We start from the raw sequence: 14,881 nt of genomic DNA, 5'->3' as shown, positions 1-14,881 counted from the left end.
TTGCCATTCTAACTGGTGTGAGATGGTATCTCATTGTGGTTTTGAATTGCATTTCTCTGATGGCCAGTGATGATGAGCATTTTTTCATGTGTCTTTTGGCTGCATAAATGTCTTCTTTTGAGAAGTGTCTGTTCATATCCTTCGCCCACTTTTTGATGGGGTTGTTTTTTTCTTGTAAATTTGTTTGAGTTCATTGTAGATTCTGGATATTAGCCCTTTGTCAGATGAGTAGGTTGCGAAAATTTTCTCCCATTTTGTAGGTTGCCTGTTCACTCTGATGGTAGTTTCTTTTGCTGTGCAGAAGCTCTTTAGTTGAATTAGATCCCATTTGTCAATTTTGGCTTTTGTTGCCATTGCTTTTGGTATTTTAGACATGAAGTCCTTGCCCATGCCTATGTCCTGAATGGTAATGCCTAGGTTTTCTTCTAGGGTTTTTATGGTTTTAGGTCTAACATTTAAGTCTTTAATCCATCTTGAATTAATTTTTGTATAAGGTGTAAGGAAGGGATCCAGTTTCAGCTTTCTCCATATGGCTAGCCAGTTTTCCCAGCACCATTTATTAAATAGGGAATCCTTTCCCCATTGCTTGTTTTTCTCAGGTTTGTCAAAGATCAGATAGTTGTAGATAAGTGGCATTATTTCTGAGGGCTCTGTTCTGTTCCATTGATCTATATCTCTGTTTTGGTACCAGTACCATGCTGTTTTGGTTACTGTAGCCTTGTAGTATAGTTTGAAGTCAGGTAGCGTGATGCTTCCAGCTTTGTTCTTTTGGCTTAGGATTGACTTGGTGATGCGGGTTCTTTTTTGGTTCCATATGAACTTTGAAGTAGTTTTTTCCAATTCTGTGAAGAAAGTCATTGGTAGCTTGATGGGGATGGCATTGAATCTATAAATTACCTTGGGCAGTATGGCCATTTTCACGATATTGATTCTTCCTACCCATGAGCATGGAATGTTCTTCCATTGGTTTGTATCCTCTTTTATATCATTGAGCAGTGGTTTGTAGTTCTCCTTGAAGAGGTCCTTCATGTCCCTTGTAAGTTGGATTCCTAGGTATTTTATTCTCTTTGAAGCAATCGTGAATGGGAGTTCACTCAAGATTTGGCTCTCTGTCTGTTATTGGTGTCTAAGAATGCTTGTGATTTTTGTACATTGATTTTGTATGCTGAGACTTTGCTGAAGTTGCTTATCAGCTTAAGGAGATTTTGGGCTGAGACAATGGGGTTTTCTAGATATACAATCATGTCATCTGCAAACAGGACAATTTGACTTCCTCTTTTCCTAATTGAATACCCTTTATTTCCTTCTCCTGCCTAATTGCCCTGGCCAGAACTTCCAACACTATGTTGAATAGGAGTGGTGAGAGAGGGCATCCCTGTCTTGTGCCAGTTTTCAAAGGGAATGCTTCCAGTTTTTGCCCATTCCGTATGATATTGGCTGTGGGTTTGTCATAGATAGCTCTTATGATTTTGAGATACATCCCATCAATACTTAATTTATTGAGAGTTTTTAGCATGAAGGGTTGTTGAATTTTGTCAAAGGCCTTTTCTGCATCTATTGAGTAATCATGTGGTTTTTGTCTTTGGCTCTGTTTATATGCTGGATTACATTTATTGATTTGCATATATTGAACCAGCCTTGCATCCCAGGGATGAAGCCCATTTGATCATGGTGGATAAGCTTTTTAATGTGCTGCTGGATTCGGTTTGCCAGTATTTTATTGAGGATTTTTGCATCAATGTTCATCAAGGATATTGGTCTAAAATTCTCTTTTTTGGTTGTGTCTCTGCCTGGCTTTGGTATCAGGATGATGCTGGCCTCATCAAATGAGTTAAGGAGGATTCCCTTTTTTTCTATTTAGTGGAATAGTTTCAGAAGGAATGGTACCAGTTCCTCCTTGTACCTCTGGTAGAATTCGGCTGTGGATCCATCTGGTCCTAGACTCTTTTTGGTTGGTAAGCTATTGATTATTGCCACAATTTCAGATCCTGTTATTGGTCTATTCAGAGATTCAACTTCTTCCTGGTTTAGTCTTGGGAGAGTGTATATGTCGAGGAATTTATCCGTTTCTTCTAGATTTTCTAGTTTATTTGTGTAGAGGTGTTTGTAGTATTCTCTGATGGTAGTTTGTATTTCTGTGGGATCAGTGGTGATATCCCCTTTATCATTTTTTATTGTGTTTATATGATTCTTCTCTCTTTTTTTCTTTATTAGTCTTGCTAGCGGTCTATCAATTTTGTTGATCCTTTCAAAAAACCAGCTCCTGGATTCATTAATTTTTTGAAGGGTTTTTTGTGTCTCTATTTCCTTCAGTTCTGCTCTGATTTTAGTTATTTCTTGCCTTCTGCTAGCTTTTGAATGTGTTTGCTCTTGCTTTTCTAGTTCTTTTAATTGTGATGTTAGGGTGTCAGTTTTGGATTTTTCCTGCTTTCTCTTGTGGGCATTTAGTGCTATAAATTTCCCTCTACACACTGCTTTGAATGTGTCCCAGAGATTCTGGTATGTTGTGTCTTTGTTCTCATTGATTTCAAAGAACATCTTTATTTCTGCCTTCATTTCGTTATGTACCCAGTAGTCATTCAGGAGCAGATTGTTCAGTTTCCACACAGTTGAGCAGTTTTGAGTGAGTTTCTTAATCCTGAGTTCTAGTTTGATTGCACTGTGGTCTGAGAGACAGTTTGTTATAATTTCTGTTCTTTTACATTTGCTGAGGAGAGCTTTACTTCCAACTATGTGGTCAATTTTGGAATAGGTGTGGTGCTGAAAAAAATGTATATTCTGTTGCTTTGGGGTGGAGAATTCTGTAGATGTCTATTAGGTCTGCTTGGTGCAGAGCTGAGTTCAATTCCTGGGTATCCTTGTTAACTTTCTGTCTCATTGATCTGTCTAATGTTGACAGTGGGGTGTTAAAAGTCTCCCATTATTATTGTGTGGGAGTCTAAGTCTCTTTATAGGTCACTCAGGACTTGCTTTATGAATCTGGGTGCTCCTGTATTGGATGCATATATATTTAGGATAGTTAGCTCTTCTTGTTGAATTGATCCCTTTACCATTATGTAATGGCCTTGTCTCTTTTGATCTTTGTTGGTTTAAAGTCTGTTTTATCAGAGACTAGGATTGCAACCCCTGCCTTTTTTTGTTTTCCATTTGCTTGGTAGATCTTCCTCCATCCTTTTATTTTGAGCCTATGTGTGTCTCTGCACATGAGATGGGTTTCCTGAATACAGCACACTGATGGGTCTTGACTCTTTATCCAATTTGCCAGTCTGTGTCTTTTAATTGGAGCATTTAGTCCATTTACATTTAAAGTTAATATTGTTATGTGTGAATTTGATCCTGTCATTATGATGTTAGCTGGTTATTTTGCTCGTTAGTTGATGCAGTTTCTTCCTAGTCTTGATGGTCTTTACATTTTGGCATGATTTTGCAGCAGCTGGTACCAGTTGTGCCTTTCCATGTTTAGTGCTTCCTTCAGGAGCTCTTTTAGGGCAGGCCTGGTGGTGACAAAATCCCTCAGCATTTTCTTGTCTGTAAAGTATTTTATTTCTCCTTCACTTATGAAGCTTAGTTTGGCTGGATATGAAATTGTGGGTTGAAAATTCTTTTCTTTAAGAATGTTGAATATTGGTCCCCACTGTCTTCTGGCTTGTAGAGTTTCTGCCGAGAGATCAGCTGTTAGTCTGACGGGCTTCCCTTTGTGGGTAACCCGACCTTTCTCTCTGGCTGCCCTTAACATTTTTTCCTTCATTTCAACTTTGGTGAATCTGACAATTATGTGTCTTGGAGTCGCTCTTCTCGAGGAGTATCTTTGTGGCGTTCTCTGTATTTCCTGAATCTGAATGTTGGCCTGCCTTGCTAGATTGGGGAAGTTCTCCTGGATAATATCCTGCAGAGTGTTTTCCAACTTGGTTCCATTCTCCCTGTCACTTTCAGGTACACCAATCAGACACAGATTTGGTCTTTTCACATAGTCCCATATTTCTTGGAGGCTTTGTTCGTTTCTTTTTATTCTTTTTTCTCTAAACTTCCCTTCTCACTTCATTTCATTCATTTCATCTTCCATCACTGATACTCTTTCTTCCAGTTGATCGCATCAGCTCCTGAGGCTTCTGCATTCTTCATGTAGTTCTCGAGCCTTGGCTTTCAGCTCCATCAGCTCCTTTAAGCACTTCTCTCTATTGCTTATTCTAGTTATACATTCGTCTAAATTTTTTTCAAAGTTTTCAACTTCTTTGCCTTTGGTTTGAATTTCCTCCTGTAGCTCGGAGTAGTTTGATCATCTGAAGCCTTCTTCTCTCAACTCGTCAAAGTCATTCTCCATCCAGCTTTGTTCCGTTGCTGGTGAGGAACTGCGTTCCTTTGGAGGAGGAGAGGCACTCTGCTTTTTAGAGTTTCCAGTTTTTCTGCTCTGTTTTTTCCCCATCTTTGTGGTTTTATCTACTTTTGGTCTTTGATGATGGTGATGTACAGATGGGTTTTTGGTGTGGATGTCCTTTCTGTTTGTTAGTTTTCCTTCTAACAAACAGGACCCTCAGCTGCAGGTCTGTTGGAGTTTGCTAGAGGTCCACTCCAGACCCTGTTTGCCTGGGTATCAGCAGCGGTGTCTGCAGAACTATATTTATTAATACTACAAAAATATCTATGCTTCATCAAAATAATGAGATTAAATGACTTTTTAAAAATCTTGGTTTTGGCCAGGTGCAGTGGCTCACACCTGTAATCCCAGCACTTTGGTAGGCTGAGGCGGGTGGATCATGAGGTCAGGAGATCAAGACCATAGTGGCTAACACGGTGAAACCCCGTCTCTACTAAAATATAAAAAATTAGCTGGGTGTGGTGGCACGTACCTGTAATCCCAGCTGCTCAGGAGGCTGAGGCAGGGCAATTGCCTGAACCCGGGAGGCGGAGGTTGCAGTGAGCCGAGATCGTGCCACTGCACTCCAGCTTGGTGACAGAGTGAGACTCTGACTCAAAAAAAAAAAATTAAGTGCTACCTTCCCTGGCCAGGCCACACTGTGCCTCTCTGCCATTGCACATCCTTGGTCTGTGACCCTCCCCTCAAACAGTCACCTTCTCCCTAAAGTTGCCACCGGCTTTAGGAATCACCTGCTGTTCCCTTCCCTGTGCAACCACAGCACCTCTACATCCACCTGACCAATCCATTGAGCTTCTCCCCATCAGGGACCATGGCTTATCCACTCACAGGCTGGAGCAGCAGCCCTCAGCTCCTTCCTGAATAAACGACCACACAAAGTCAAACACCCTAAAAGTTCATCTCTAAGTGTATACTGAATTCCCCACCTCTGGGCGTCTTTTGTTAAATAACCCTCCCCAGCTTCCCCCTACTCCACCTGGAAAAATCCCACCCCTGGTCGGAGGCTGCCCTCCCACCATCCACTTGGTGAAGTTTTCTTTCACCTCACTCAGTTCCCCATTGCCCCTTTTGCCCTCAAAAACCAAACAAAACTGGAGCTGTGTTCTCCCTCCTCAGTGCCTTAGAGAAATGTTAGCCTCTCTTGTGTGATTCTAAGTCGATGCTGCCCTGCAGGGTCTTTATGAGTGTTCCGCTGCTGTCTCACCTACAAACGTGTCTGTAAGCACCTTCAGGGAGGGGACTCTGTGGCCTGGGGAAGGCCGACTAGGTGAGGCAGAGAATTAAAACACAGGAACACACAACTGCTGGGACAGAGGCCATCTGGCAGGCACCCATCGTTCCTGTGAGGAGAACTCAAATCTCAGAAGCTCATGCATTTCGTAGCAGAGTCAGGAGCTACACATGAAAAACACACCTGTGCTCCCTCAACTGGGGATCGTCTCACTAGGCTGCACCTCCTGAGAGCTAAAGTGCGTCTCAAAAGCCCCACTGTTCCCCCTGTGTTCCTATAATAGGAGCAAAGAGAGGCTGATGTCTCTTTGGAGGTGCAAACTCATTTTGACAAAGAATAGGAAGGCAGTTAAACAGGGAAATATCGTACTTTTTTTTTTTTTTTTTGAGGTGGAGTCTTGCTCTGTTGCCCAGGCTGGAGTGCAGTGGCACAATCATGGCTCGCTGCAACCTCCGCCTCCCAGGTTCAGGCAATTCTCCTGCCTCAGCCTCCCGAGTAGCTGGGACTACAGGCGCGTGCCACCATGCCCGGCTAATTTATGTATTTTTAGTAGAGACAGGGTTTCACCATGTTGGCCAGGATGGTCTCGATCTCTTAACCTCATGATCCGCCCGCCTTGGCCTCCCAAAGTGCTGGGATTACAGGTGTGAGCCACTGCGCCCAGCCGGAAACATCATACTTTCTATGGCACACTAGACACTCAGTAAATCCAGATGGGATTGCAATGCATGGAAGCAGCTCCCTGGAGAAAGTCGGATTTCCCTGGAAACCACACTGGTATTGGCCCCAGGAGGTCACTGACTGCTGGGGCAGCACTCACCCAGTTGCACATCATGGTGGCAGAGCCCCGCCTGTCCAGACCTGACTTCCCAGCTTCTGAGGCTGAAGGAGAACAGATGAGGCTTGCTCTGGCGTCGTTCGGTGAAACCACTGTTCCTCTCTCGCTGCTTTCCCGGGTTTCCTTGTGCATTTTGAGCTGTGCATCTGATTCTTTGGGTCAAAGCAAGGACTGAAAAAGAGCAGAACACAAGAAGAGATCACAATGAGGCAAGGTCCCGGGGCTGAGAGAGAAAGGGGCCACCCTTGCTGGTGTTTCTCCACCACAGTCTCTTTAAAAATTGGGCATGGGCCGGGCATGGTGGCTCATGCCTATAATCCCAGGACTTTGGGAGGCGGAGGTAGGCGGATCACCTGAGGTCAGGAGTTCGAGACCAGCCTGGCCAACATGGTGAAACCCCGTCTCTACTAAAAATACAAAAATTAGCTGGATGTGGTGGCACACACCTGTAATCCCAGCTCCCCAGGAGGCTAAAGTAGGAGAATCGCTTGAACTTGGGAGGCGGAGGTTGCAGTGAGCTGAGATCGCGCCACTGCACTCCAGCCTGGCCAACATAAGCGAGACTCTGTCTCCAAAAAAAAAAAAAAAAAAAAAAAACTGAGCATAGTGTGACCATGACAGCTTGAGGTTTAAAACCAAGAGGCACATTATGCTATGGAAGGAACATCACGTGGTAAAATCCTGAAAGACCAGATTCAGAACATTGCTCTCAGCTCACTAACTAGGAGACTTTAAGTAAGACCTTTGGCCTTTCTAAGCCCAATCATCACCCCCTATAGGAGAGGGATAACTGTGCCTAGCTCAGGGGGGTTCTTATCAATAAAAGACATAACGTCTGCAAAACTCCTAACACATATCAGTATTCCTGAGGCGAACACTCTGCTGCACGTGTGAGTTTGCGTTTTACTTCTTCCTCCTAAGGTAAAACTGAAATTTTTTACCAACATCGCCAAGCTTTGAAGCCTTAATTTGCACCACAGCTGTCTCCTGTCCTTCCAAATTTTCTTTTTGTTTGTCCTGCCAAAACGAAGTTGTTTACAAAGATATGTGGTTCAGAGACGTTTCTGGTTGCTTTGACGCCGCCTTGTGGGCAAGTCTCGGAAATTGCATGTGTCCCTGGCCCAGCAAATTGAGCAAAGATTGTATTAGGTGCATCTTATATTTCCTTATCATTCTCCCTGGGTCTACCTTCAGATGATTCCTTAAGGCAAAGCCTATTTTTTCTAAATTATAAAGTAAACTTTAGCATGTAAATATCGAGGTAAGAGTAGTGGGTAGCATTTTTATATTGGAAATCAGTAACATTGCAAAATTCTGTTTGCAACTTTATTTTCAGAAACGGGGACAAGTGCATCATCAAAGCAGATATTTATCATAACATTTATAGTTGTCCCATAAGACAAATCATCTTGACTTTGCTACTTTTCACTGGATCTCACAAGAAGCTTATAAGAAGCGGGCCAGATATGATTCCCGTTTTTCACAAACAAGAAGGGTGAAAGGGTCCTCCCAAAACTACACAATAAGGGATTAAGCCAGAAGTAGAGCCTGTGACGTTTTACATGGCCAGAAAAACTCTTGTGCTGCTGTTGATATTGTTCTTCTGTTTGTTTAGCAAGTCTGCCTTAGAGAGACTTCACAGCACCCCTGGGCCTCACTTAGCACTGATCTGTCTCCCAGGAGTGGGCCCCGGGGTGGTGGAGGGTCAGGGATGGGGTTGCCGTGCACATCAGTCTGCTCCATCTAAAAAAGCTCACCGACATCAAAACATCTGGCTTTCCTAGAAAATACTGGAATGTCTGGAATTTTTTTTTTTTTTTTTTTTTTTTTTTTGACAGAGTCTTGCTCTGTCACCTAGGCTGGAGTGCAGAGGCGCGATCTTGGCTCACTACAGCCTCCACCTCCCGGGTTCAAGCGATTCTCCTGCCTCAGCCTCCCGAGTAGCTGGGATTACAGGCGTGCGCCACCACACCCAGCTAATTTCTGTGTTTTTAGTAGAGACGGGGTTTCGCCATGTTGGCCAGGCTGGTCTCAAACTCCTGACCTCGGGTGATCCACCCGCCTCAGCCTCCCAAAGGGCTGGGAGAATGGCTGGAATTGTGGTGTCATTTTCTTTTCAAGGCCATCAGTGCTGCAATTCTGCCATTCATTCCAAAGGCCCATTAGAGAAGGAAGAGAAAAATTCCATGTCATACGAGTAGCGCCAACAAAAAAATACCTTCTGCGTGCGTGTGTGTGTGTGTGTGTATTTATGTGTGTCTGTTCACAGATGCACCCAGCTAAGCCCAAACACATTACAAGGTAGAACAGATGTTCATCCCCAAGAGAGTCTGACTGTCTTGCTTTTAAGTTTAGTGCCTCAATCCTATTATTCCTTCTCCATTTTGTTTTGGCTAATAAAGCAACTTGCCCGCAACTCATCCTTGGAGCAGCAGTCATGAATTAACGAAGATTTTTTTTCCCTCTTTTCCATTAAAAAAAATTTTATGTGCCACTATTATGTCCTAGGGTTTTGTTTTTAATTGTGGGAAAATACACGTAACATGAAATTTACCATCTGAACTATTTTTGTGTACAGTTCAGTAATGTTAAAAATAGTGCCAGGTGCGGTTAATCCCAGCACTTTGGAGGCCGAGGTGGGTGGATCACTTGAGGTCAGGAGATCAAGACCAGCCTGATCAACATGTGAAACCCTGTCTCTACCAAAAATACAAAAATTATCTGGGCATGGTGGTATGCACCTGTAATCCCAGCTACTCGGGAGGCTGAGGCAGGAGAATTACTTGAACCCAGGAGGCAGAGGTTGCAGTGAGCCGAGATTGTGCCACTGCACTCCAGCCTGGGTGACAGAGCGAGACTCCATTTCAAAAATAAATAGATAAATAAAATAAAGTGTATTGTATAGTTGTGCAATCAATCTCCAGAAGGTTTTCATCTTGAAAAACCAAAACTCTGTCCCCATTAAATACCAGCTCCCTATTCCCCCTCCCCACAGCTCCTGGCAGCCACTATTCCACTTCCTGTCTCTAGAATTTAACTATTAGGTTGGTGCAGAAGTAGTTACGGTTTTTGTCACTGAAAGTAAGGGCAAAAACTTCTGTTAATACTTAAGGTACCTTATGTAAGTGGAATCATTCAGTATTTGTCTTTCCCTGCCTGGCTTACTTCACTTAGCATAATGTTATCAAGGTTCACTCACGTAGCATGTGACAGGTTTCCCTTCACCTTGAAGGCTGAATAATATTCCTCTGTGTGGAGGTACCACATTTTCTTCAACGCCTTCCCTATCCCTCCTCCCTACCCTCTGCCCAGACCCTGGCGACTGCCACTCTCAGCTTCTATGAGTTCAACGTGTTTACGTTTCACATATAAATGAGATCTTGCAGCATTTGTTTTTCTGTGCCTGGCTTGCTTCACTCAACATCATGTTTTCCAGGTTCATCCATGTTGTTGCAAGTAGAGATTTTCTCCTTTTTCAGGGCTGATACTCCCCTGTGTATATATAGCACAGTTTCTGTATCCATTTATCCACTGATGGACACTTAGAGTCCATATCTTGGCTATTGTGAATGAAGCTGCAATGAGCAAGCAAGTGCAGCTGTCTCCTCTACATACTGGTTTTATTTCCGTTGGTAATTTACCCACCGGCACATTTTCCTTATTTCTTTCATCCATGGATGGGTCCTACCATGTACCATCTCAGAGAAGCTTAGGCACAGTTTGTTGGGATGTCAGACGCTGAGCAGAATGGCGCGTGCCCTCTACCTTCCAATGTCCAAAAAGGAATTCATTGAAAGATCAACATACAAAGCCTTTTTTGCCAGAAGAGTGGGTTGGTGAAAGGATAGGAATCTTTCAAAATGTTAGGTAGGCTTCCAGACTTTAAATCCTCCTCCCTAACAGATAGACTCAGACCCCGCTATCGAGCTGTAGGTAGCTCTTAGAGATCTTTCATTTCTAGATTTGAGTGCTTTGGGGTTTTTTTTGTTTTTGAGATGGAGTTTCTCTCTTGTTGCCCAAGCTGGAGTGCATTGGCATGATCTTGGCTCACTGCAACCACTGCCTCCCAGGTTCAAGCGATTCTCCTGCCTCAGCTTCCGGAGTAGCTAGGATTACAAGCACCCACCACCACACCTGGTTAATTTTTGTAGTTTTAGTAGAGATAGGGTTTCACCACGTTGGCCAGGCTGGTCTCAAACTCCCGACCTCAGGTGATCCACTAGCCTCGGCCTCCCAAAGTGCTGGAATTACAGGAGTGAGCCACTGCACCCGGCCTAGATTTGAGCACTTTGCTATCCTAGGTTCTCTTTCCTGGCACAGGACACAATTTGATTCTGCATGTCAGTGATTAGAGTTGTGCCCCCTGAACTGAACAGCCATAGATAGCAAGGCTTTAAGGAAGGGAACTGTCCAGATGACCTCTTTGGATGCCTGATTACTACAGAGTTTATGCAAAGACTCAGGACAGTACAAGTCAGCAAAGCACGTAGGCTTGGTTTCCAGGCTCACACCAGAGCCACTGAAGAACTTAGACACATACCAGCTTTCTTAGGTCCAATATCTGCCACCTAAGTTCCCATGTCACTGATGGGAAAATAAAAACTAATGGCATAGTTTCATTGTTTCTTTATAAGCAGAGGAAAAGTACAAATTGAAACTGAAAAGTGTTTACTCAGACTCAAACTCAAAAATTTCAGCATTGTTTAGACACTGCTCTCCAGTCATTGGCTTCCCAAGAGATGGGTTTCAGGGTGATCTTTCTTGCACACCATCATCCTCGACCATTTACTGAGTGGCCTTGAGACGCTCAGGAAGAGTTGTCACTCCTCAGCCTCATTCCTGTTAATTTCCTGTCTGCCTTTTGGTTGTGCAGATCTTGCTGGGTCAGAAATACAACCACTCTGTGGACTGGTGGTCCTTCGGGGTTCTCCTTTATGAAATGCTGATTGGTCAGTCGCCTTTCCACGGGCAGGATGAGGAGGAGCTCTTCCACTCCATCCGCATGGACAATCCCTTTTACCCACGGTGGCTGGAGAAGGAAGCAAAGGACCTTCTGGTGAAGGTAAGAAGCGAAGCCAAGAGCGTCTTCATAAGACGAGCATTAGGTCTTCTGGTCAGTTTTCTGTTCCTCTTAGTTTCCAACTTGCATGTGGCAAACAATGATTATTATTGAACTGGGTTTAAATGGGATGTGCACCGTCTGTGTTTTAATAGAGGCACCAATATTATGAGCATTAAATGTCAAAATGAGTGTAAGAGAAACCCTCATGTGCATCAGTTATAACATAACGGCCCAGGAACCAGTTCCATGACCTTGAATACGCTCACCTGGAGATGTAGTTGGTTCATTAAACAAGCACAGTGTGTGGCTTAAAAATCAATCTTCTAGCTACTTGGGAGGTTGAGGCAGGAGGATTGAAGTTGGAAGTGTGAGGTCAGCCTGGGCAATGTATCGAGACCCCTGTCTCCAAAACAATAAAGGGGAAAAAAAAAAGAAACAAAATGGGCATTTAGGCTGGGTGCAGTAGCTCACACCTGTAATCCCAGCACTTTGGGAGGCCAAGGTGAGCGGATCACCTGAGGTCAGGAGTTTGAGACCAGCCTGACCAACATGGAGAAACACGGTCTCTACTGAAAATACAAAATTAGCCAGGCATAGTGGCACACGCCTGTGATCCCAGCTACTCAGAAGGCTGAGGCAGGAGAAAATGGGCATTTATGTTATATAGAGGGTTTTTTTTTATTTTACTCAGTCTTTTGTTTCCCATAGTTTTTTATTAGAAATATTCAGTCCAGTTCATCTTCCCCTGCCTCTGGTTGAAATCTTGGACAGGATGTATGACTTTTTGGCCTGCTCTTAGATAAAAGACAACCTATTGTCACTCTTATGTTATGAAACACTGTCTCAGTGGGGAAATTAAAACCATCCAGTCTGGGATATTATTCATCACATAACTTTTTTCTTTTTTGAGACAGTCTCACTCCCTCACCCAGGCTGCAGTGCAGTGGCATGATCTTGGCTCACTGCAACCTCCACCTCCCAGGTTAAAGCGATTCTCCTGCCTCAGCCTCCTGAGTAGCTGGGATCACAGGTGCACGACCACACTCACCTAAATTTTTGTATTTTTAGTAGAGGTGGAGTTTCACCATGTTGGCCAAGCTGGTCTTGAACTCCTGACCTCAAGGGATCTGCCCGCCTCGGCCTCCCAAAGTGCTGGGACTACAGATGTGAGCCACCATGCCCAGCCTCATCACATAAATTTTAATTTTAAAGCTGGGACTCCTGCTTCCTTTCCTCTGCTCAGAGCTCGTGATTGGCAGCTGCTCACTACTGGAGGAGACAGTGTTGTCATGCTCTTGCTGGCTGTGTTCTTGTTCTCTTCCATTCTAACTCCTGAGTTTCTGCTTCAGACCTTACCAGGTAGAAGCTGAGAGAGGAAAGAGGATGAGCAGAAAAAAACAGTTCTTATTCGGCTGGCAGCCTCCTACCCCTGAACTGGAGGATGGCTAAAGCTGAGACTTCAATGAGGCACTCTACTAGGTTCTGCAGAAATACTTATCCTTGCAGATGTGTTTGGCTGAAACCCTTGAGATACAGGCATTCAGTCCAGTCCCTGGCCTATATACTGTACCAACGCTGATTCTGCAAGACTCTCTCACTGTTGGTTTCCTGCCCAGCAGATTGTCTTGGGCAGTGTACTAGTCTGTTCTCATGCTGCTGTAAGGACATACCTAATACTGGGTAATTTATAAAGGAAAGAGGTTTAACTGACTCACAGTTCTGCATGGCTGGGGAGGCCTCAGGAAACTTGCAATCATGGCAGAAGGCACCTCTTCACAGGGCAGCAGGAGAGAGAATGAGAGCCAAGCGGGAAGGGGGAAGCCCCTTATGAAACTATACTCTCACTATCATAAGAACAGCATGGGGGGAAACCGCCCCCATGATTCAATCACCTCCCATCGAGTCCCTCCCGTGACACATGGGGATTATAGGATTATAATTCAAGATGAGATTCTGGGTGGGGACACAAAGCCAAACCATATCAGCCAGTACAGTTGACCTTTGAACAGCTCAGCAGTTAGAGGAGCCAACCTCCTATGCAATGACAAATCTGCATATAGCTTTTGAGTCCCCCAAAACGACCACCAATAACCTACTGTTGACCAGAAGCCTTACCAATAACACAAAGTCAATTAACACATGTGTTATATGTTATATGTATGATATACTGTATTCTTACAATCTAAGAAGCTACAGAAGAAAATTCTATTAAGAAAATTATAGGAAAATGTGTTTACTGTTCATTAAGTGGAAGTAGATCATCATAAAGATCTTCATCCTTGTCTTCATGTTGAGAGGGCTGAGGAAGAGGGGGAGTTGGTCTTGCTGTCTTAGGAGTGGCAGAGGCAAAAGAGGTGGAGGAGGTGGAAGGGAGGCAGGAGAGGCAGGCACACTTGGTGTAAATTTGATTGAAAAAATCTACATATTAGTGGACTGGTGCAGTTCAAATCCAGGTTCATCAAGGGTCAATTGCACTTAAAATACCTACAGACCAGCTCTCCCCAACCTGCCCTACCCACTGTCCACCAGAAATATTGTTGACTTCTTCACTCTAACAAACTCTGAGAGTACAGGCTATTACCATCTTAGCAGCAATCTCCAGAATTCACCATCAAAACGGAATTCAGCGCCCTATCCGTGGTAGCCCAGGATCCATCGAGAATACAGGCACAGTATTACAGGTGGAAACTGGGCTCTGAGAATCACAAGGTGTGAGCCAGGAGCTCCCAAGGCAAACCCACGTGGAGACAGAGGAACACCTGAGAGCCATCAAGAAAGATCTGGACTCTAGACAGACTCAGAGTTGGCCTTTTTTGAGGATGCGAAATATTCTCCACAGTGTATGGGCGTAGCAAGTTGTAGAATGAAATGAATCATGTCAATACAACATGCTAAATACATAGAAGAATAATAAGGACCTACATATACTGAGCTGTCCCAGCAAATATTTGGGTCAAAGAGACCCATCACTGTAATCAAGAGCCTAGCACATCTAGGCTGGGTGTGGTGGCTCATGCCTGGAACCCTCGCCCTTTGAAAGGCTAAGGTGGGAGGATTGCTTGAGCAGCCCGAAATTCAAGACCAGCCTGGGCAACATAGCAAGACCCCATCTCTACAAAAAATCTAAAAATTAGCCAGGTAGGGTGGCTGGCGCCTATGGTCTCAGCTACTCAGGAGGCTGAGATGGGAGGATCACTTGAGCCCACAAGGTGGAGGTTACAATGAGCCATGATCACACCACTGCACTCCAGCCTAGGTGACAGAGCAAGACCCTGTCCCCCCCGCAAAAAAAAAAGAGTCTAGCACATCTAAAGGAAGTGGACCAAGAATGCAGGTGTTTTGGAAGAAACATTGTTTTGATTTCTGGCATTTCAT

At 44.1% G+C, this 14,881-nt stretch overlaps 1 protein-coding gene across 9 annotated transcripts in view, besides 1 other annotated feature; it reads left to right on the top strand.

The window, feature by feature from the left end:
- Positions 1–14,881, top strand: part of PRKCQ (protein kinase C theta) — a 186,550-nt gene that overhangs the window by 127,248 nt on the left and 44,421 nt on the right. For 8 of the 9 annotated variants that reach the window (NM_001323267.2, XM_005252497.5, NM_001323265.1 and 5 more), the window contains one exon: positions 11,318–11,506. The exons of the other annotated variant lie outside the window; for it this stretch is intronic. In NM_001323267.2, coding sequence (NP_001310196.1) covers positions 11,318–11,506 — 189 coding nt within the window. The remainder of the gene's footprint in view (positions 1–11,317; positions 11,507–14,881) is intronic. 9 annotated transcript variants of the gene reach the window in all.
- Positions 10,339–10,508: an enhancer, noted in NCBI's record as "experimental_14068 CRE fragment used in MPRA reporter constructs". NCBI's record gives its function as "activates a minimal promoter by MPRAs in K562 erythroleukemia cells, with activity observed for both the introgressed and non-introgressed 10:6484938 variant alleles {active_cell/tissue: K562}" and the evidence as "EXISTENCE:reporter gene assay evidence [ECO:0000049][PMID:34662402]".

This window comes from Homo sapiens, chromosome 10 (genome assembly GCF_000001405.40).
Source record: "Homo sapiens chromosome 10, GRCh38.p14 Primary Assembly".
NCBI lineage: Eukaryota > Metazoa > Chordata > Mammalia > Primates > Hominidae > Homo > Homo sapiens.
The sequence above is the reverse complement of the archived record's forward strand: the minus strand, read 5'-3'. Positions and strand labels throughout refer to the sequence as shown.